Source organism: Homo sapiens, chromosome 16 (assembly GCF_000001405.40).
Source record: "Homo sapiens chromosome 16, GRCh38.p14 Primary Assembly".
NCBI classification, from domain to species: domain Eukaryota; kingdom Metazoa; phylum Chordata; class Mammalia; order Primates; family Hominidae; genus Homo; species Homo sapiens.
Genome location: NC_000016.10, coordinates 22,562,167 through 22,585,597, shown reverse-complemented (window position 1 = coordinate 22,585,597; position 23,431 = coordinate 22,562,167). Strand labels below are relative to the sequence as shown.

General features: G+C 45.3%; 1 long non-coding RNA gene and 1 pseudogene across 4 annotated transcripts in view, besides 2 other annotated features; one reads left to right on the top strand and one right to left on the bottom strand.

The window, feature by feature from the left end:
- Nucleotides 1-8,134, top strand: part of LOC112268175 (uncharacterized) — a 30,600-nt gene extending 22,466 nt beyond the window's left edge. Inside the window, exons 2-4 of one of the 3 annotated variants that reach the window (XR_002957911.2) lie at nt 2,053-2,212; nt 2,497-2,619; nt 7,939-8,134. This is a non-coding gene — a long non-coding RNA (uncharacterized LOC112268175). Of the gene's footprint in view, nt 1-2,052; nt 2,213-2,496; nt 2,620-2,809; nt 2,899-6,408; nt 6,605-7,938 lie in introns of those variants that run through there. The other 2 variants (XR_002957910.2, XR_002957912.2) reach the window with 2 other exon arrangements.
- Nucleotides 2,916-3,416: an enhancer, noted in NCBI's record as "H3K27ac hESC enhancer chr16:22593503-22594003 (GRCh37/hg19 assembly coordinates)". NCBI's record gives its function as "activates a minimal SCP1, AML or CMV promoter by ChIP-STARR-seq in primed H9 embryonic stem cells {active_cell/tissue: H9 hESC(primed)}" and the evidence as "EXISTENCE:reporter gene assay evidence [ECO:0000049][PMID:30033119]".
- A 598-nt stretch (nt 8,135-8,732) lies between the features above and the next one.
- OTOAP1 (OTOA pseudogene 1) overlaps nt 8,733-23,431 on the bottom strand; it is a 31,168-nt pseudogene continuing 16,469 nt past the window's right edge. Inside the window, exons 5-9 of the transcript NR_003676.3 lie at nt 17,393-17,535; nt 16,955-17,091; nt 16,336-16,433; nt 12,181-12,376; nt 8,733-8,986 (exon numbers count right to left, since the gene is read on the bottom strand). The product of NR_003676.3 is annotated as an OTOA pseudogene 1 (transcript). The remainder of the gene's footprint in view (nt 8,987-12,180; nt 12,377-16,335; nt 16,434-16,954; nt 17,092-17,392; nt 17,536-23,431) is intronic.
- Nucleotides 11,070-11,273: a silencer, noted in NCBI's record as "fragment chr16:22585646-22585849 (GRCh37/hg19 assembly coordinates)". NCBI's record gives its function as "represses an EF-1alpha promoter that drives an FKBP-Casp9 reporter gene in an ReSE screen in K562 erythroleukemia cells {active_cell/tissue: K562}" and the evidence as "EXISTENCE:reporter gene assay evidence [ECO:0000049][PMID:32094911]".

The following is a 23,431-nucleotide window of genomic DNA, read 5'->3' as shown; positions in this document are numbered from 1 at the left end:
GAGAGGCTGACATGGAACAGGATGTCTGACCAATAAAACTTCTTCCAATAAGGATTCACAGACATAGTCATACCTTCCAGGCTAAGTAAGGCTCAATTCCAGGCAGCTGTCTGTCTCAGCTCCTCATGCACATCCGTCGCTTCTGTCTACCCAGCATTTGTTTCTCCCTTATTCAGTTCTCATTGCTGTGTAACAAATTGACAGAAGTGCATCAACTAAAGCAACACAAATGTATTATCTCACAGCTCTATAGGTCAAAATCCAAGCACGGCTCAACCGGATTCTCTGCTCAGGGTCTCATGGGGCTGAAATCAAGGTGTCAGCTGGAGCTGTAGTCTTATCTAAAGCTCAGGGTCTTCTTCCAGGATGATTGGTTGTTTTCAGACTTCCGCTCCTTCTGATTATCTTGAGATAGGAGGCAGGACTTGACTCTGGAGGTGGGGCTTGGACACCGGACCAAGTTCAGGACTAACTAAAACAGAGCTGGGAGGGAAGCAGCTTTCCCTAAGACACACCCACCAGTGTGCCAGGTCAGTTTACCATTGACACGGCAATACCTGGGAGTTACCACCCCTTTCCATGGCAATGACCTGATGACCTAAAGTTACTACCCCTTCTCTAGAAAGTTCTGCAGAAACCACCCTTGAATCTGCATATAATTAAAAGCAGGTATAAATATGACTGCAAAACTGCCCAGAGATGCCACTCTCTGGTTACAGGGTAGCCCTGCTCTGCAGGAGCCGTCATGGAGCTGTAACACTGCAGGAGCTGTAACACCACCGCTTCAGTAAAGCTGTTTTCTTCTACCTCCAGCTTGCCCTTGAATTCTTTCCTGGGCAAGGCCAAGAACCCTCACAGGCTAAGCCCCAGTTTGGAGTTCATCTACCCTGCATCAATATGACTGAGGTCTTGTTTTCTTGCTGGCTATCGACCAGAGACCTCTCTTACCTCCTAAAGACAAACCTAGGTCCTTGCCCTGTGGCCTCTCCATAGGCTTTCTCACACTTTGAGCATCTCTGACTTCAGGAAGGGCCTAGTCCCTTTTAAAGGTGCACCTGATTAGGTCAGGCCCACCCAGATGTTCTCCCTTTTGATTAACTCAAAATCAACTAACTAGTAGCCCAGTCAGGGCAGGGCTATTCCATCACATCCTCTAATTGTGCAGCACTGGAGAGGAGGAGATTGCACAGATTGTGCACACCAGGGAGCAGGGATCTTGGGGGCCATCTCAGAATTCTGCCTACCACATTTTAGTAATTGATCTCTTCTGGAATCAGTCCTTTCCTGCTCAGTCAATGTTATTTGTGGTAGGATTTAGGGTAATCAGACCTAGCCTTGGCCAATTGGTGTAACCATTGTCTGGGCCACAGTGGTCAGATCAGAAATGGGCACCTGCCTCAAGCAAGCCCAATCAGACCTAACCTGGGGACTTTTGCTGAAGTAACTAGGAAAGATCTCTCTCTCTCTCTCTCTCTCTCTCTCTCTTTCTTGTTATTGCGGAAGTGTTAGGCTGTAAACTTAGAGCTGATGGTGGACACCATGTGCTATGATTCAAATGACCCCCCAAAACTCATGTTGAAACTGAATCCCAAAAGTGGGAGCATTGAGAGGTGGGACCTTTAAGAAGCGATTGTATCCCTCTTGAGGGCAGAGCCTTTACTGACCACCTAATGTTTTATTAAAGCTTGTTCTGCACCACCCCTATCCCTACCATCACCATCTGGAGCTCTTGATCCTTTCCTCCAGATTTCTTTGCTCCATAATATTTATCACTATCTGATACAGGGGTGTGTGGATGTGAACATGTATATGTGTGCATGTGTGTGTTTATGGTCCGCCTCTCCCAGTCCCCGGTAGACTGTAAGCTTCATGAAAGCAGGGCTTTGTGTACTGTTGCTTCTGTAGCATGGGGTCTGCCAAAAAAGTAGCTTCTCCATAAATGTTTGTTAAATGAATATATTCTGATTCTATCTCCCCCCTCCTCCAGAATGGATCTAAAGCTTCCCAAACTTTGCCTGAGTGAGTGTCCTACTGAGTTCAATTTTGTTTCAGAAAGGATGTGTGTATGTTCACCCATACGCTGCACAAATATGTAATGGACACCAGCCATGACCAGCCTACTGGGGACTGCTTGGCAGTAGCAACACGGCAGCGAACAAGACAGATGAGCCTCCTGCCCACAGAAGCTTACATTCGGGTGGAATACAGGCTGGTGAGTTGTCATGCCGATTCCTCCAACCCCAAACCCTTTCCAGTATGGCAGGTCCTGGAGCTGGACTGGCCACCATTGAGAATCCACCCAACTGCCCATCAGCATCTCAAGTTCCCTGTTGCAAGATGCCAGGGAACATGAGAGAGGACCGTGGGGGAGAGTGAGCTCTCAATGAACCTGGTGTGGCAGGGAGAAGACGAAGATGGGGCAGATCCCCAGGGGGAAGACAACTTAAGGGCAGATTTGTTGAACTAAGTTACTTCAAAGGGTCTTCCATCTTCCAGCATGAGCAAAGAAGATGACCACACACCTGGGGGAGAGTCAGATGGCTTCTTCAATTGGAACGTTCTTCCCTAAGGATGAGCTAATATAGCACATGACCTGAAAATCCTTCTGGGAGACTCCAGGTAAAAGGGCCTTGACTGCACCAGGGAGAGAAGCTAAGTTGTAGATTTGGGGGAAATGAGTGTTAGAACAGTGAGTGCTCAAGGGAAGTAGTTAAGTGAGCCATGAGATACAAAGTCTGCCATGGCAAAGTAGGTGGAACAACCATGTTATGAGTATAAGTTCTGACCCCAGCTTTCCTGTGATTTCTAGGACCCTTGGTCTTGAAGATGGGAAATAAATGGGTGCATGACAGAAGTTAAAGACCATTATTAGGTATCAAGTACCATAGCACTTTTTGGAGGCAGAAGAGCTTGACAAATGGGCATAGTGTACATAGTAAATGATGGTAAGGGTAAAGGATAAAATGTATCATCTTCCTGTCATCAGAATGGGACCAGCACTGTGTAAGGTGGGCATGTTAATGACATGATATATAAGACAGCTTTTGCTACAATAACAAGGAACTCCCTAGGCCTGGCACGGTGGCTCATGCCTATAACCCCAGCACTTTGGGAGGCTAAGGCGGGTGGATTACCTGAGGTCAGGAGTTTGAGACCAGCCTGGCCATCATGGCGAAACCCTGTCTCTACCAAAAAATACAAAAATTAGCCAAGCAAGGTGGCACTGCCTGTAATCCCAGATACTCGGGAGGCTGAGGCACTAGTGGTGCTTGAACCCAGGAGGCAGAGGTTGCAGTGAGCCGAGATCACTCCACTGCACTCCAGCCTGGGTGACAAAGTGAGACTCCATCTCAAAAAATAACAATAACTTAAAAAAAGAGAAATAGCTCTCAAATCCCAATAGATCCCTATAACAAATATTTGTTTCTTGCTTCTGAGTCTTCAGGTTGGCTGTGATTACACTGGGTTTGGCTTGGCTGAGCTCAGCTAGGTTCTGCTGAGCTCAGCTTGGCTCCAAGGTTTGGGTTGAGTTCAGGTCTGCTCCACATGTCCCTTCACATGAGAAGCAATTGCCAAGAGGTCAAGTCAAATCATGCAGCACATTTAAAACTTCTGCTGGGGGAAAATGTGTCTGCTCACATTCCAATGACCAAAGCCCAAAGTTAGAAGGGCAAGGAATTAGACTCTACCTATTGAGATGTACTACAAAGTCACATGGCAAAAAGCTTATAATTCTAATAAAGGAACTAAGCAGAATCACTAGGAGCAATCACCTAGTCCGCCACACATGGAGATGTGCCACAGGGACTCAGAGACTGGAAGGAATTCCCCAGGGCCAGAGTTCTCCTGGGAAACTACAGCCTCCACCATTGCCTCCCAGATTTCATCAGCATCTCTGTAGTCTGGCTCATCAGAGGCCACAACGGAGATAAAGGCAAATAAAGACTTCAGCTGCTGGCAAGCTGCAGATATCTCCATGGATCAGCCAAGCCCATGTCTCTTTCTGAAACAATCAGTAATCGGGGAAGTGACAACAGAAAAGCGTAATACAAACTACCTATGGTATTGGAAGAATCCCAGGAATCGTTGGAGGTCTTGAATGAATTTGAAGAGGGTACTCAGTTCAAGACTACTTTAAGACACACACTTTGTAGATGTCCCAACTAGACACTGTGTGGCCTGGGAATTCTGCAATGTTTACTTTTTTTCAATTATATTATGTTATAATATATTTATAAGAAATATATATCATATATAAGATTATATATAGCTTATGTATCTAAATATAATATAGATATATTATATATCTAAATATAATCTTTGATATATATCTCATATATTATCTTATATATGATATATTATCATATACATGAGTTATATGTATCTCATATATATTATTTTCTTATATATATGAAATATATCTCATATATATAAGATATGAGAGCTATATATCTCATATACAGATATAGATATCTATCTACATCTATATTCCCAGGCCACACAGTGTCTAGTTGGGACATCTACAAAATGTGTGTCTTAAAGTAGTCTTGAACTGAGTACCCTCTTCAAATTCATTCAAGACCTCCAACGATTCCTGGGATTCTTCCAATACCATAGGTAGTTTGTATTACGCTTTTCTGTATATGACATATATATCTCTCATATATGAGAGATATATATGTCATATACAGATAGATATAGATCATTCCATCACCCAGGCTGGAGTGCAGTGGCACAATCATAGTTCATTGCAGCCTCAAAATTCTGGGCTCAACTGATCCTCCCACTTCAGCCTCCTGAGTGGCTGGGACTACAGGTGTGTGCCACCAGGCGGGGGCTAATTTTTCTTTTTTTGGAGACAGAGTCTCACTCTGTTGCCCAGACTCAGATGTAGTGGTGCAATCTCAGCTCACTGCAACCTCCACCCCCCAGGTTCAAGCAGTTCTCCTGCTTAGCCTCCCAAGTAGCTGGGACTACAGGCACGTGCAACCACTCCCAGCTAATTTTTTGTATTTTACTAGAGACGAGGTTTCACCATGTTGCCCAGGCTGGTCTTGAACTCCTGAGCTCAGATACCTGCCCGCCTCAGCCTCCTAAAATACTGGGATTACAGGAGTGACCCACCCACTGCCCCCAGCCTTTTTTTCTTTTTTTTTGGTAGGGACAGGATTTCCCTATGTTGCCCATGCTGGACATGAACTCCTGGCCTCAAGTGATCCTCCTGCCTCAGCCTCCCAAAGTGCTAAGATTATAGGTATGAGCCACCAGGCCTGGCCCAATATTTCTAAAGGCCCCTCAAGAGGCAAAAGTGGGCAAAGGACTTTTAAGGACAAAAAATGCCTAGTATTGAATATTAAGTTGTTTACTGTGTTGTAACTCTCTTCCATGACTTCAGTAAAGCAGAGTAAACACACACATGCCCCAAGACACAGTAACCTCTGTTTGGTAGTACAGCCCATCACAAGCAGCTGTGGCTGAACCCCTGGGTACCAGGACTAGAGAGGATAACTTCATTGTAAGTTCCACTGGATGTTAGGCTGAAGTTGCAGCCCCCATCAAGCCAGGCTTGGTGTCTGGAGCGGGCCTGAAGGTAGAGATTCTGCAAAAGGATCTAACTGGGGTGATATTCAAAAAATTTAGAAGCCAGAATGGCACAGGTCCTGACCGATAAGAACCAGAGCCAACATGCTGTGATCTGCATACAAGTGCCAGTGATCCCTGCCTCCAGCTGAGGAGGGCTGTGAAGGATGGAGGCTAGAAATCCATCAGGAGAGCTGACATTGAAAGGTGAATGGGAGCAGCACCTGCCAGCGTGACCTGCTGCTTTCCTGCATGCAAAGGACGGTGCATTTCAACCTGAGACCCTGGGGTTCCTGCAGGGCATCAGCTAGATTTGTCTTCCTGCCTGGGATGATCACCAATTATATGTGCTGTGAGGCAAACTGTCCTCCCGCCAGAGGAGGAGGTGAAGGGATTTACAGAATCTCTCTCTGATCTGACTTATTAGAGAAGTTAAAGGACACCCGTCCAGGAGGCAGCACAGTACAGAGATAAAGAAGTCAGGATTCAAATTTGTCCTATCTGGGAAGCTTAGACAAGAGCTCCTTAACCTCTCTCACACTCAGTCCCCTCATCTGGTAAATGGGAATCCTAACAGTGCCTACCTGGCAGGAGCATGGCCACAATGAAATGAGCTAATGACACAGTGAAAGCCCTTAGACAGCCTGACCCAGAGTCAGACCTCTGTAATGGGAGTCATTATTCAAGATGGGAGGAAAGAAACAGGAATTAGATCAGAAACAAATGACCAGAAAGAGAGATGAAATACAAAAGCTACATGAAGTCGGCAGTGTGAAGCCTGACTCGCAGGAGAGTGGATTTTGTTACTGTTTGCTTTTTCTTGTCCAGGATAATCCAAGACTGGCAGAAAGTGAGAATACCGATTGAGATCCAAGGACATCCTCATGGGAGTCTGTGCAGACAGGTTTTCATCAAGAACCCCTCTCCAAGCAGCTGGTCCAGCCCAGCTAAACTGGGGGCTGCTGTTTGTAAGAAAATTAATGCTCTGGGCCAAGCACGGTGGCTCATGCCTGTAATCTCAGCACTTTAGGAGGCCAAGGCAGGCGGATCACTTGAGGCCAGGAGTTCAAGACCAGCCTGGCCAACATGGTGAAATCCCGTCTCCACCAAAAATGCAAAACTTAGCTGGGCATGGTGGCGCATGCCTGTAATCCCAGCTACTCAGGAGGCTGAGGCAGGAGAATCACTTGAACCCGGGAGGTGGATGTTGCAGCGAACCAAGATCATGCCACTGCACTCCAGCCTGGGTGACAGAGTGAGGCTCCATCTCAAAAACAAAAACAAAAAAAATTAATGTTCTGTACCTGAGGAGCACCCATTTGCTGCTACTTCCCTGCCAGGATGAAGGAAAACCAAGTCAGACATTAAATAACACGTGCAGGATCACAGGATCACACCTTTCACACTGCAGTCTTAGTTTTCTATAAAACCACGTGACCTCTGAAAATACACTCCAGCCTCTGCAACACCTACTCATGACGCTTTGTAAAATCCACCGCCTTTTAGGGACACCAAGATTTTCGGAAACATGCAGTTTTCTTACCTCCAGATGAGATGTCTACTGTGGATAGGTGACTAGGAGGAGAACCCAAGGTGTGCTGATGGCAGAACAGAAGCACCTAGGATGCCACCAGGGAAACGCCCTGACAAGCAGCTGTGATGCTGTCTTCGAGAAGGTGTTTGCAAACACCACTGCTGCCCCCCTTCCCTGAGCCCTGACTTCCTAAACCTAAGGCTAAAAGCATCCTGGCAATTCCCGGAAGTAACTTCATTCTAGCAGGATCGAGCCAGTGGGTGGAGTTTTCTCAGCCCGCCAGGATCACATCAGTGACTGACTTACCCAATGTACTTTTATTTTTTATTTCAACCAATTCCCCAAAGCCCAGAGCAACTTAAAACCAGAAGAGCCACCACCATCTCCACCAAAAACAGGGAATATTTTGAGAGTTTAATGATAACTTCACAGCCATCCATTCAGCTGAGTCCCAAGGAAATGGAAGACACCTGAAAAATGTATTTTTAAATTGATTTAACGTTGAGCCATGTTAAATGTTTTAACTTCCAACCAATGCAATGCCCACCAAAACATCAATTAGTCCCAGCAATCAGGCAAGAATATTGGCTTCTGCTCAGGGATTCATTTATTTCAGCTCTGCTAAATATCGTAGAGGAGAAATCCAATGTAGCCTGTAGCTTCAAGAAAGTGAAATTAAGCCCAAGTAGAAACTAGATGAGGCCCTGGCTAAAATGGTGCCTTTTCTTGCACTGCCTCTCTCTGGTATCTCTCTAAAGTGAGGGCAGCAACTTGATTGTAAGGGTCTCGTGCTGTTAACAGAAAACACCCTTCCTTCCCCACAGGTTCTCTGTCTCCAAGCTGGAAAACAAAAGAGGCTGCAATGGGACAGAGAAGGGCTTCCTGCTGAGGAGATGAGTGGGCTTAAGAATTTGCAAGATCAAAAATCAAAACAATTAAACCCATGGAGATAGAGTAGAAGGAGAGTGAACAGAGGCTGGGAAGGGTAATGGGAGAGTTGGTGGGGAGGAGGCAGATGGTTAACGGGTACAAAAAAAACAGAAAGATGAGTAAGACCTACTTTTCCATAGCACAACAGGATGACTATAGTCAACAGTAATTTTTTTTTTTTTTGAGATAACGTCACTCTGTCACCCAGGCTAGAGAGCAGTGGCATGGTCTCTGCCCACTGCAACTTCTGGCTCCTCAGTTCAAGCGATTCTCCTGCCTCAGCCTCCCGAGTAGCTGGAATTACAGGCGCACACCACCATGTCCAGCTAATTTTTGTATTTTTATAGAGATGGGGTTTCACCATGTTGGCCAGGCTGGTCTTGAACTCCTGACCTCAGGTGATCCACCTGCTTCGGCCTCCCACAGTGCTGGGATTACAGGCATGAGCCACTGCACCCGACCCTATAGTCAATAGTAATTTAATCGCACATTTTAAAATAACTGAAAGAGTACAATTGGATTGTTTGTAACACAAAGGATAAAGGTTTGAGGTAATGGATACCCCATTTTACATGATGTGATTATTACACATCGCATGCCTGTATCAAAACATCTCATGTACCCCATAAATATATATACCTACTATGTACTAACGAAAATTAAAATTTAAAAAAATTAAAAATAATTTGCAAGATCATTTTTAATAATTATTTTTCATTTGGGGTGCATTTTCACCATCAAGGCCCCAGGGTTTCCCTGCCCTAGATGAGGGTCTGGATCCAGGGAACGGTGTCCCACCATCTGGAGCATCCTGTCTCTACACACGTTGGCCAGCTGCTTGGGGCAACACAGGACGATGTGCTCAGGCCACTCACCACAGGAGCTTGGCCATTAGAACCAGCAGGGGACAACCAAGCCAAAGACCCCACGACTGGAGAGCTCCTAAAAGCAAATACAAAATAAGAGTACACATGAAGTTCTGGCAGCAAGCAGAAGGTAGACACATCATGTCCAACTCCCCGAGTCTCTCTCTGGGGCCACTTGATGCAGAGCCTTGATTTGTTCGTCTCTTAAATGGGAACAATGACCCCCAAAGAGGAGGAGGGGTGGGGGAGTGAGAATTAAATGAGATTGTGTCAGTCAGCATGTACTAGGGAGCTTGTTAGAAACACCAATTCCAGGATCCCCTAGAGATTCTGATTTAGCAAGTCTGCCAGGAGACCCAGGAATTTGTTGTATTTTAAGCATCTCTCCCAGGTGATTCTGATAATTAAGCAACTTTAGGAAAGAAAAGATTAGGGCTCTGGTCCATAGGAAGGGTTCATCCAATGGCAGCCCTCACTTAGGCCCTTGGGGTGAATGAAGGAGGGGCATCCAGGATCTTGCCCAGCCAGGGACATGCAGGGAACATCTTTTTAAGGGGCCCTCATCACTTTCTGACACTGCTGTTTCAAGGGAAAACTGGTCACACCTTTCTGCAGGGGATTTGACAACATCCATTACAAAAAAAAATTTAAGACAGAGTCTCGCTCTGTCACCCAGGATGGAGTGCAATGACGCCATCTCGGCTCACTGTAGCCTCTGTCTCCCAGGTTCAAGCGATTCCTCTGCCTCAGCTTCCCTAGTAACTGGGACTAAGGCATGTGCCACCACACCTGGCTAATTTTTGCATTTTTAGTAGAGACGGGGTTTCACCATGTTGGCCAGGCTCATCTCAAACTTCTAACCCCAAGTGATCCACTTGCCTCAGCCTCCCAAAGTGCTGGGATTACAGGCATAAGCTGCCACATCCAACCAACATCCATCAAAATTATAAATGCAGACCCTGTGATCTAGCAATCTCACTTTGAAGAGTTTATCCTACAGACATACTGCACAGATGCAAATTATATCAGGTCAGGAGCTGCAGCATTGTTCATAACAGCAAAAAAAAAAAAAAATAGAAACAACTGCAAGGTCCATCTACAGACCTCTGGTTGAATACAGTTACGGCATAGCCATAAAACCAACAATGGCACAGCTCCTGTGCACAGATACAGAACTCCCTCCAAAGTATATGGTTAGGTGAAAAATACAAGGTGCAGAATAAGGTGTATAATAAGCTTTTGTGAAAAGTGCAGAGATCATCTATATTTGATTTGCTGTGTATGCATAGAATATCTCTGGACAAATACACAAGAAGCTGCTAACATTGGTTGCCTCTGGGGAGGGAACAGGGTGGCTGGGGGACAGGGGCTGGAGGAAAAGATTTCACCACATGCCTTGCAGACTTTACATATTCGGAACCCTGTGCATTATCTATTGCACATATTATCTATTCATGCAAAATGCTATAACATTTACAAATAACTTTTAAATATATGCATATCATATTTCAATGGAAAGTTTTTTTTTGTTGCTGTTTGTTTGTTTGTGATGGAGTTTTGCTCTTTTGCCCAGGCTGGAGTGAACTGGCATGATCTCAGCTCACTGCAACCTCTGCCCCCAGTGTTCAAGCAACTCTCCTGCCTTAGCCTCCCGAATAGCTGGGATTACAGGTGCCCCTCACCACACCTGGCTAATTTTTGTATTTTTAGTAGAGACGGGGTTTTGCCATGTTGGCCAGGCTGGTCTCAAAACTCCTGACCTCAGGTGATCCGCCCACCTCGGCCTCCCAAAGTGCTAGGATTACAGGCATGAGCCAATGTGCCCAGCCTCAATGAAAAGTGTTTTAAAGTAATAATATAATACATCAAAAGGCATGATTTATGTTTTCAAGTGCCACCTCTGGCCACTTGTGGCTGCAGAAATGGGGAATACTCCAATTCACCATCCCTATGTGAAGGCAGGACAGGGAGACATTCAAGTCAGGAAAAGGTGGAGTGGAGGTTTTAGTCAAGCACCAAGTCCTCTGACTTCTCTGGGCACTTGCCCATGCCGGTACCTACTCCTGAGACACTGTCTACCTCGCTAAGCCCATCTTCTTCTCACCTTGTGTCTCACCTGAGACATCACTGACTTTAGGAGGTTTCCTGACCCATGTGTGTTCCCCATCTCAGCACCCAGCACCTGCCTCATGTTCACCAGGGTACATGTCTTCCCTCCCCGCCAGGCTGCACTGAGAGCTCAATGAGGGTAGGGAACATCTCTGTTCCCCATCTTGTTAGAAGCTATCTCCCCAGAGCATGGTCCAAATGTGGTGTTAAGAACAGAAGGTACCACAAAGAAGTGAGAAAGTGAAGGGGAAATGGGGAGAGCTGTAAGAAAGGCATGGGGGAGAAAAAGGAAAGAAGGCCATGTTCCCAGGATCCAATGCCACTCCCTGGGGAGGCTTCTCTATCTTAGCTCAGCCCTCAGTCACTATCACCCTCCCTGGTCTTGTCAGATTTGAAATATCTTCTTCATTTACAAGAGGGCCTTATCTATCTTGCACACCTCTGTATTCCCAGCCCCTACTGCAGACTTGGAACATAGTAGGTGCCCAGTAAACATGGGTTGAATTAATTAATATTGGACAGGCCAGGCTTGGTGGCTCGCGCCTGTAATCCCAACACTTTGGGAGGCTGAGGTAGGCAGATGACCTGAGGTCAGGAGTTCAAGACCAGCTTGGCCAACATGGTGAAGCCCCATCTCTACTAAAAATACAAAAATTAACCAGGTGTGGTGGCACACACCTATGATCCTAGCTACTGGGAGGCTGAGGTGGGAGGATCGCTTGAGCCTGGGAGGTGGAGGTTGCAGTGAGCCGAGATCGCGGCACTGCACTCCAGCCTGGGCGACAGGGCGAGACTCTGAGTCAAAATAATAATAATAATAATAGTTCATTATTATTGGATAGTGAGGAGGGAGTTTGCAAAGGAGCGGCTAAAATGAAATTAGTCCTGAGTTTCTGATGTTATGCGTTCTGGGTAGGGGTGGGAGAACTGGAAGATGTTTAATGCCCCCCACCCAAGGGCAGCCATAGTTGAGAATCACTAATTCTGAAGCTTGGTAGGGAAGCTTGATAGGGACTTTGGGTTTTTCACTGAGGGCAGAATCCCCAGTGACTGTCAGAGACCTCGCTCTGAATCTTAAGAACCTCCCCACCCCAGGCCTGACAGGGAGGACAAGGAAGGAGAGTGGGGCTGGGACGCGGGGCAGAGGGCGGCTCTGCTCACCTGCGGGAGAACGCGAGGATGAGGTTCTAGTGGGACCGGCGCTAGCGGGCGCGTCCTGCCAGGAGTGAGTCTTGGCGCCATCTAGCGCCTGCTGGAGGCTCTGCAGCTGCAGTGGACTGAGCCGCCGGCGCTGGGCGTGGGTCACCGCCGCGGCGTTCTCCGGACCCAGGGAGGCGATCTGCTCCGCGGACAGCTCCTGCAGGAGGCAAAGGGGCAGCACCCTCACACGGGGCCCCTCCCCGGATTTCCCACATCTCGGGCGTCCGCGCAGGATGCACACAACTTTGCCATCCCCTTGTGTGTATCATGTGTGGTCCTCTTTAAGATATTTCCTTAAAATTAGATCACTCTTGCACTACCAAAGTAAATGCATTTAAAAATAGAAAATTTAAAATGGAAGTTTCCAAAAATGGAAAGCCGGCAGACTTGCCATAAGCAAGCATTAAATAGGAGCCGCAAAATAAAAATAAAACAATATTGTTGAATCCTAGCTAGATTTGTCCGCCAACAATATCTGAACCCCTGGCCTCTTGAAAAAAAAGAGAGAGAGAGAGAATATAAAATGTATTATACAGGGTTAAATTGACACTTCCTTCTTGAGGTATTTAGAAGTACTAATGGAGAGTTGAAAAGGGAAGCATGATTTCCTCCCTATGTGGCAATGTTGTTTAATGCAATGCAAGACAGCTTCCCAGTGCTTCAAGTCTTCCACCTCCTGAAACACTGATGTGGAGGGGGAAACACAGGCCTTAAAGATCAGAGGCCTGAATTCGAGCCCCTGCTCTGCCACATACTTGCTGTGTCACCTTGAACAAATTACACAGCCTCCCTGGGCTTTGGGGATAAATGTGAGATGGCATAGAGAACTCATCTCCTCTGCTGACTGATTCTGATCCTTTGGTTTGACTTCCTGAGCACCATGTGATGAGCTCTGTGAGGGCTCCATGGAGGGAAAATGCAGTCATCTATTGGTGATATCTGCTATGGACAACATGAGTTGGGAATTCTGCCGGCCAGACTATGTCTTCAAGGACTGTGAACAAGGTGTCTTCTGAAGTCACTTCCAGATCAAAGGACTTGGTGACTCGTTCCAATGGGACTGGAATACGAAGGGGACTCTATATCATCATGTTTATTTTCTAAAGGCCCTGAAGAATCTGGGAAAGATGCTTATGCTCCCTCATCCCTTCCTCTCCTGTCAGTCACCCTCTCCTCCTCTTTTGTCCAGGTAGATACTTCCCTGGAATCATATCCCTCTGTGTAAAGCCCTTCCAGGAACCCCACTCCAGAACACAGTTCAGGCTCCTGGAAAAAACTCTGCCCACCTCTCCAGCCTCACACATGGCATTCTTCACTCCAGGAGAGTGGGTGCCAATATTTACAGTTCCCTAGAGGCAGCATCTTCCTGTGCACCTCCTTCTGCCTGGAACACTGTTTCTTCTTCATCGCCAGCTGTTCTCCAAGATTCAGCATCTGGTCGGTCAAGCGCCATGGCTCATGCCTACAATCCCAGCACTTTAGGAGGCTGAGGCAGAATGATTAACGGAGCTCAGGAGTTCGAGACCAGCCTGGGCAACACAGTGAGACCCCCCTTCTCTACAAAAAGTTTTTTTAATTAGCCAAGTGTGTAGTCCTAGTTACTTAGGCTGACGTGAGAGGATTGCTTGAGCCCAGGGGATCAAGGGTGCAGTGAGCCATCATTGTGCCACTGCACTCCCTTGGGCAACAGAGTGAGACTTTGTCTCAAAAAAATTAAAATTCAGCATCACCTCCTCTCCTCTCACTACACACACACACACACACACACACACACACACACACACACACACACGGTGGGGTGGTCAGAGAGGTACTTTTTTGGCTTCCATATACCATTAACACAGAGTCTGTATTCTAAAAATTATCTCTTTTATCAATGTTGCTGACTTGCGACCCACAGGCCAGATTGAATCTCTAGGCCTACGGCACTGTGTTTTCAAAAATAAATTCAGATTGGCTGCCAACATTTAATTATCAAGCAATTCCATATGAAAATGAAGATTTCTGACTTCTTCTCGAAAAAAGTGAAAAGGAAAATTCAGCAATCCTGGGCCCACATGGCCACACTGCATGAATGTGCTAGGAATGAGAAGCAGCCTCCACATTTAGACAAGGCTCTCCAGTTCACTTCGGTCTCTACCCAGCCTACTGCACCTTATGTTACCTTTTAGGCCCCTGAAGGCACTATGTGATAACCCCTTCACCTGTGCATCCTTAGGTGCACCTACCCTGGAGCCTGCCACAATGTAGGTGATCAGTAGGGATTTCTGGAATAGATAAATACCTGTACAAGGAAGCAGCACAACAGCACTCCAAACAAGACCAAGAGAAAGTGCTTAGCAAAATGCCAGCATCCAAGACCAAGCTGCTTGTCCCATGCAGAGTGCCCCAGAGGGGAAGCAGGTATTTGCTCAATGGCTTTGAGGACTGCTATTTATTGCCCTCAAACAGCTATTATGCCTGCAATGTGCTCGGAACTGTCCAGGATGCTGAAGTGATTGAAGGTTGGCTTTCTTTTTTTTTTTTTGAGACAGAGTCTCGCTCTGTCGCCCAGGCTAGAGTGTAGTGGAGCGATCTTGGCTCACTGCAAGCTCCGCCCCCCGGGTTCACACCATTCTCCTGCCTCAGCCTTCTGAGTAGCTGGGACTACAGGCACATGTGACCACCCCAGCTAATTTTTTTGTATTTTTAGTAGAGACAGGGTTTTACCATGTTAGCCACGATGGTCTCAATCTCCTGACCTCGTGATCCACCCTCCTCGGCCTCCCAAAGTGCTGGGATTACAGGTGTGAGCCACTGCACCCGGCCTCAGCTATCTTTCTTGAAATGAACAAGTGATGTGGCACTGGGGGAGTTTGTCGAGCCTGGTTTGTGTGTTTTATCCAGAAGTGCTGGACAAAATGTGTTCCCACATTACGCAGCAAACAGGAACACCAGAATGACTGCCTCCTCATCAGAGCAGACTATTCCCACCAAACACTCCCCTAATCTTGTATACAGACAGAAAAAAAGGACCTGTCATTAGATACCCTGCTTCCCTTCCTTCAAATGATCCAATTTCACCCTCTCAATTTTTTCATAGCAGTTTTTCACCTGTCCTCTTGTGATTTTCCTAATACTTTTCTTTAAATCAACTAAAAATATATATATATAGAAAAAAATATATATATAGAGAGAGAGAGAGATGGTTTCGCTCTTGTTGCCCAGGCTGGAGTGCAATGGTGTGGTCTTGGCTCATTGCAACCTCTGTCTCCCGGGTTCAAGTGATTCTCCTGCCTCAGCCTCCCAAGTAACTGGGATTACAGGCATCCACCACCACGCCCAGCTAATTTTGTATTTTTCATAGAGATGGGGTTTCACCACGTTGGCCAGGCTGGTCTCAGACTCCTGACCTCAGGTGATTGGCCTGTCTCAGCCTCCCAAAATGTTGGGATTACAGGTGTGAGCCACCATGCCTGACCTAAATCAACTAAAATATTTTTATTTAATTATATCTTAAAAGGAAATGTTACAGAGGTCCACAATCCCTCATCTGCAATTCCAAAGTCCAAAAATAATCTGAAAACTGCAAGTTTTCCCCCAAAGTTTAAGTCAAACTTATTTATCAGCAAAACTTGACCTGAAGTAATGTGAGGCTATTTATTTATAGTCTCTATTTATTCCAATTAGTGTGGCTTGTCACAGATTTCTTCACAGAAATATTAATGTGTTTGCTTACAAGGTGCTTCCCCAGACACTGCTGGGGGTATGAAGTTACATACAGTAAATGTACAGGGTGATCTTTTCAAAATCTGAGAAATTCTGAATTCTGAACTATATCTGTCCCCAGGGGTTTTCGTAAGGGTTTATGAACCTGTCATACCACCATAAGTAGAAAATCAGTACCACCTGCTAGAAGAAGAGAAGATGACCGTAAAAATAAATATAATTAAACTACATATTGTAATTTTAAGAAAAAATGTTTTTTAAAAACACCTAAACTCACACAGATCTCCTCTGACCCCATCAGCAGAGCCTGGTCACAAGCCTCTAAATTCCAAGGCCCATCACCTGTTTCCCTGTGTGATTTGAAATGGGGTCAAGCTCCCATTTCTCCTTGAAGAACTGAGCACCTACTTTGAATATCTCATCAGGAAGGCATTTTATTGCTGATGGCTGGAAATATGGCATCAAATCCTTGTCAAGCATCCGGAGCTCTGCCTTAGTTAATCCAGCTGGGGAGAAAAAGGAATCACGGGGGTTTAGTTCAAGCCATCAGAACTCCGCTTGTTTTATTAATGGTGCTGCATAATGCTCAGATCTGAGTGTTCTAGGCAGGCATCATTCCTTACAAAAGGCCCTGGAAATCACACTGGGGAATCAAGTTCCTTCATCAACTCAGAAAAAAAAAATGTGGGTCACATTAGCCCTGATTGGCCTCCTACAGTGAAACGCATGCCCAGAAGGAACTTCAATTTACACACTTTCAAATTTTGTATAAACCTACTTAGGGGCCAATTAAATCACATTCTAAACTAGCGGTTTTCCAAACTTTAGTGTACACAAGAATCTCCAAAAGAGCTTGTTTTAAAAGCAGATTTGCAGACCCACCCTCTGCAACTTCAAATCATGAAATGTAGGTTCTACTGTAACGCCACTGATGTTTGCTACACATGGCCAAGGATAATGTTTTATTTTGTGTCCCCACATTTAAGTTTGGAAAGAGAGAGAAAGGTATGCTCAGGGTGAGTCTTACCTGCAATGGTCCCAAGCTCCTGCAAGACAGAACTGGTCCACTCAGTGGGATCCCCAAACACAACTTCAGCCTTCCTCTTAAACTCGGCTAAGACATGTGTGCTGCAGAGCAGGGTCCCAATTCTGGCCACTACCACCCTGGTAGTGGTTAAAGAGGGAGGGATATAATATGAGCTTGGACTCTTCAGCCAAAAACAAACAAACACACACACACACACACACACACACACACACATACACACACACACTGCACAGTAGGCTCAGCAGGGACAGCAGATCCAGCTTATCCCATTAGCCCAGTGGGATTTTAGCCCAGAAAGGTGCCAAGTGTCAGGAGGTGGAATATCTGGATGGATGGATGGATGGATGGATGGATGGATGGATGGATGGATGGATGAATTAACCCATTTGCCATTTTGCACATTCATATTTTAGTTACCTGAATTCTGAGATCTTTATAAGTGGGATTTCAGTGATGTTTATAGCACACAGGGTTGCACCAAGTCCTACCAAATGAAAGCTCTTCAGGTCCTGGATACTGTATCCTGAATCATCCAGGTACCCTTGCAAAATGGATTCAGCCTAAAAAATAGTAAGAATAAAAGATAAACCATCCAGGAATGATCAAGGTCCCCAGGCCTGAGGGGATAAATAAGCTGTTGCTGTAGTCTCCTGACTGATCTCCCATCCTACTCCTCTGGAATCCCCACTCCAAACCATCCTGGCCTCTGCATCCAAGTTCATGTCCTTAAGATACTACTTCAACTGAGTATGTCCCCTAATCTATGGAAGTGTCTTCAGGCAACGAATCTCTTACATCCTTCACCAATATTAAAGGCACTTGTGTCCTGTGTGTCTGCTGCTTATTTCCTTCAGTCACTCTTATGACCCTCAGACAGTTTGGACATACAACTTCTTCTGCATCAGGATCCAAACTTTTCCAGCATCTTTTTCCACAACGTTTCTTCTCCCTTTTTTTTTTTTTTTTTCGTTTTTTGGAGACGGAGTCTTGCTCTGTCACCCAGGCTGGAGTGCAGTGGCACAGCTCGCTGCAACCTCCACCTCCCCAGGTTCAAGCAATTCTCGTGCTTTAGCCACCCAAGTAGCTAGAATTACAGGTGCACATCACCACATCTGGCTTTTTGTATTTTTTGTAGAGACGGGGTTTCACCATGTTGCCCAGGCTGGTATCAAACTCCTGACCTCAAGTGATCCACCCACCTCGGCCTCCCAAAGTGCTGGGATTATAGGCATGAGCCACCGCACCCAGCCTTTCCACAACCTCCAACAAAACCTTATAATTTCCTGTCTCTTTGCCTTTGTTCAAACCAGTCCTTTCATCTGAAATGCCCTTCTGCACTTCCAAGTGCAGACATTCTTTTTTTTTTTTCTTTGGTTCAACTCAAATGTCACCTTCTTCATGAGGTTTCAGCCAGAATGATTTTTTCTTCCTCTATGGTCCTACAGAAATATGTTTACCCCTTAATGATTTTTTCTTCCTCTGTGGTCCTACAGAAATATGTTCACCCCTTCAATTCCAATGTTTACTCTTCAATTCCAAGAGTAGCACACAAAATGCTTTGGTGTTAAACTATTTTAAACTAAGCCTTGATTTAAGGCGGCTGACACATAAGTCTCCATAATTCTAGCACAGTGGCTATTCATCATTCATAACTTCCTCTGGAGAACCACCTCTCTTGTATTCCTGCTTCATGTGGTTCAGTCAAAGCTAACTGCACCAAGTTCCAGGAGTGATGAATTTCAATTCATACCTTAGCCTAGCTGCAGTCACTGGTTCTGGATTGGACATGTGATTTAACCAGAGTCAACCAGAACTTTGAGTGGAGCATTAGGGGAAGAGCTTTCTTTACTCTGGACTTGAACTTAGAAGGATATACACAAGGATCTGCTGGAACCTACCACATGCAGGCATAGAGCCTGTCTCTCAATGAAGCCAACACAAAGAAAAGCAAAGTTCAAAAACATGATAAGAGACAGATTCCCACCCAGAGTGTTGAAGATCCTGGATCCAGCTGTATCTGAACACTACCCCTGAACTTTCCAGTAATGGGAGTCAATAAATTCCTTTTTTTTTTTTTTTTTTTTTTTTTGAGACAAGGTCTCACTCTGTCACCCAGCCTGGAGTGCAGCGGCATGATCTCTGCTCACTACAACCTCCCTCTCCCAGGTTCAAGCGATTCTCATGCCTCAGCCTCCCCAGTAGCTGGGATTACAGGCAGGCATGAACATGCCTGGCTGATTTTTGTATTTTTAGTAGAGAAGTAGTTTCACTGTTGGCCAGGCTGGTCTCAAACTCCTGACCTCAAGTGATCTGCCCGTTTCAGCCTCCCAAAGTTCTAGGACTACAGGTAGGAGCCACTGCACACTGCACCCAGCCCCTTTATTTGTTCAAGCAGTTTGTGTTGGGTTTTCTGCCACTTGTAACTAAACATGTGCTGATTCATTTTATCTACCTATGTAGGACCTGAGGAGGCATCCAAGCCAATCCTATGAAGATCAGCTACAAAATAAAGTCTGGGCTGGGCACGGTGGCTCACACCTGTAATCCCAGCACTTTGGGAGGCCGAAGCAGGAGGATCACTTAAAGTCAGGAGTTTGAGACCAGCCTGGCTGACATGGTGAAAGCTTGTCTCTACCAAAAAATACAAAAATTAGCCAGGCATGGTGGCACGTGCCTGTGGTCCCAGCTACTTGGGAGGCTGAGGTGGGAGGATTGCTTGAGCCTGGGAGGTGGAAGTTGCAGTGATCCAAGATTGTGCCACTGCACTCCAGCCTGGGTGACAGAGGGAGACTCTGTCTCACAAAATAAAGTCTGGTTCCTTCAGTGCTCATGGGAGCAAGTAAAAGAGATTATAAGACCTCACAAGGCAAAGATGAGGAGACATCCAAGGAGAGACCCCTAAGTGGAAGCGAAAATCACAGGCTATAGTCAATCTTCCCAACTCTCTTTGCTTTTTTTTGTTTTTTTTTTTGAGACAGCGTCTCACTGTGTCACCCAGGCTGGAGTGCAGTGACATGATCTTGGCTTACTGCAACCTCCATCCCCCAGGGTTCAAGTAATTCTTATGCCTCTGACTCCCAAGTAGCTGGGATTACAGGCGCCCGCCACCACACCCAACTAATTTTTTGTGTTTTTAGTAGAGACAGGGTTTCACCATTTTGGCCAGGCTGGTCTCAAACTCCTGGCCTCAAGTGATCTACCCACCTCAGCCTCCCAAAGTGCTGGGATCACAGGCATGAGCCACCATGCCCGGCCCCCATCTCCGTTTAATGTTAGTCATCCCCATCACACAATATAGATCATTAAGGTGTTGAGAGAAAGTGTTGAGGAAGATTGTGAAATGTTGCAATGAAATTCCGTCTTCATGGGCTGGTGCTTCCCACCCCTCAGGTGTGTTTAAATGCTACCTACTCAGAGAAAACTGCCCTCTGGACTCTTTCATCTCAAACAGCCCTTCTTCCCACTATTCCCATGAGCACCTTGTCCATTTTCCGCATCACTTATCGTGATTTTTCAAATTTTTCACTTTGATTACTCACTTTTTTGTCTGTATCACCAAGTAGGCTCCCAAAAGAAAAGGACCATATCCAGGTAGTTTACCAATGAGTCCCCAGCACCTAGCATAATGCCTGCCACAGAGTAGGAGTTCAATAAGTACTTCTTGAGTAAGTAAATGAATGAGTGAATGAATGAATGAATGAAACAACATCTGAGTGAGTGACTTACAAAAGTCGTGGGCAATATATATTATTTGACACGCTTCATTTTGCTGCCTTCATGTAATAGACTGGCTTCAGGAAGATTTCTCATGTTTCTGAAAATCGGACTGGTCAGTGTCCTCATCAAGTTGTCCTCCATGATTACAAAGCTCACAGCTACTATGGGGGCGGGGGATGCAGTAACACCATGCTTAGACTTATATGTCTTTGACTTAATGGGACTGTATATCCAAAGTGGTAATAGCTAACATTTATTGTAGCTAACATTTCTTGAGTGCATACTGTGTGCTGGCACCACTTTGACCACTTTACACATACTATCTCATCTAATCCTCCTAAATAACACTATGAGGTAAGTATTAATAGTATCCCTAGTTTGCAGATGAGCAAACTGAGGCAAGGAGAGGTTAAGTAACTAGGCCAAGATCACACAGCTAGAAAATGATCGTTCTGGCCAGGCGCCGTAGCTCCTGCCCGTAATCCCAGCACTTTGGGAGACAAAGGCGGGCAGATCACCTGAGGTCGGGAGTTGGAGACCAGCCTGACCAACATGGAGAAACCCCGTCTCTACTAAAAATACAAAATAAGCAGGGTGTGATGATGCATGCCTGTAATCCCAGTTACTCAGGAGGCTGAGGCAGGAGAATTGCTTGAACCCGGGAGGCAGAGGTTGCAGTGAGTGGAGATTACACTCCAGCCTGGGCAACAAGAGCAAAACTCATTCTAAAAAAAAAAAAGAAGAAGAAGAAAGAGAAAAGAAAATGATGGTTCTAGGATCAAAACCCAGGCAGTCTGATTCCAGGGCCCATACTCTTAGCCAGTGAAGGTGTTTGGCTATGGAGAAAAGATGGAGATTCAAGTTAGTTTTCAAATTTTTCTTATTAAGTCTTCATAATCAGGTTTCACTAGTTGACTCAGAGCAATTTGGGCTCCTCAACTATCAGGCATGCTCACTTTAAAATGAAAGTGCAAAAATACAATTTAAATAAAATTACTTTGAAGATATGGTATTAAATTGTCCTTGCCACTGAAACCCGGAAAATGCAAGCTCAGCCTGCAAGGTGATAAGTTAAAATAAATTTCCTTGAGTGACGAGACCAGTGTATATGTAATGATTCCAAGACAATTAATACCAACACTTTTAGGCAATATTAACTGTTGAAAAATGAATAGCTTTAAGATTTCAATCTCTCTGTTCATCCCTCTGGCTTCTATAATAGTTTTTTCCCTTATATTGGTTTTTGAGCTGAACTATCTGTTAATGTAGTTCCGTCAGGTCTGACTATTAATCTAGAAACCTGCATTTAAGGTTGATTGGGAGCTAAAGTTGAAGAACTGACTACAAATGATACATGCAAATGTTAGGTTTTCATATCCTCTTCAAACATATTGATAAATCTCACTGCCATCCATGAGAATTAAAATCGGTGCGAAGGGAAGGAGATACCCTAGTTTCTGGATGTATTTTTCTGTTTCTCCGAGCCTGCAAATAGAATGATTTTAATAGCACAGTGTGATGTGGCACTTCTCAAACTAGTCAAAACCAGTTTTAGAGTCAAAGAACCATGGGATTATAGAATATCAGACTGGAAGGAACCTCAGATTGTTGGGGCTAACCCTCTCATCTTGCAAAGGAGGAGACTAACCCAGAGAAAGGGGCTGTAATGATGATAATGTTGATGATGACAATGCAATGATGTCAATATCAACATAAAAACAGCTAATTTTTATTGACTACTATGTACCAGACATTGTTCAAAATGTTTTCAAGTATTAACTCATGTAATCTTCATGGCCAGGATCTGCATGTTGCCCAGCTCTAGGGGTGCACCATTCACAGTGTATTCTGTTTGAATGGTGCCACTCAGAGTTATGAAACATGGCCACCGTGATTACAAAAAGCTCAAAAGAGTAGGGGGACATTCATTGGTTTTGGCTGCTCAGCGTCCACACTTTTTCTTTGGAAAATTACCCTCCATTAGCTTCCTATTGCTACTCTACCAAATTACCCCAAACATAGTGGCTTTAAAACTACACGTTTATTCTCTTATAGTTCTGGAGACTGTATGTCCTAAAATGGACTAGAAGGATGGGTTCCTTCTGGGAGTTCTAAGAAGAATTCATTTTCTTGCTTTTTCTAGCTTCAAGAGGCCACCTGCATTTCCTTGGCTCATAGCCCCATCCTCCATCTCCAAAATCAGCAGCAGAGCACCTTCAGATCTCTTTCTAGGTCCCTCTGCTTCCATTATCATGTCACCTTCTCTATCTATGACCCTCCTTGCTCCTTCTTAAAAGGACCCTTGTGATTACATTGGGCCCACCCAAATAATCCAAGATAACCTCCTCATCTCAAGATCCTTAATCGCATCTTCAAAGTCCCTTTTGCTCCATAAGTTAACATAGTCACAGCTTCCAGGGGTTCAGACATGGACATCTTTGGGGGACCTTAATCAGCCCACCACATATCCTTCCCCACTCGGCTCATGTGGTCATGAGATGCTGATAAGATGGACTCCGCTCCCTGATGCAGGCCTCGCCAACCAACATATTCAACCCCTGACCAGAGTGGTTGCTCAGGGGCGGGCAACTACATGAGTGGAGTCAATGCTGAGGCTTTTCCAAAAACTAATAAAGAAGAGGCACATTTTTATGGGCTTGTTAATTAGGTTGTATATAAGCCTAGTGCTGAAAATGACCACTGAGAGAGCTGCCTAAGAACGAAGATAACATGGAAGGG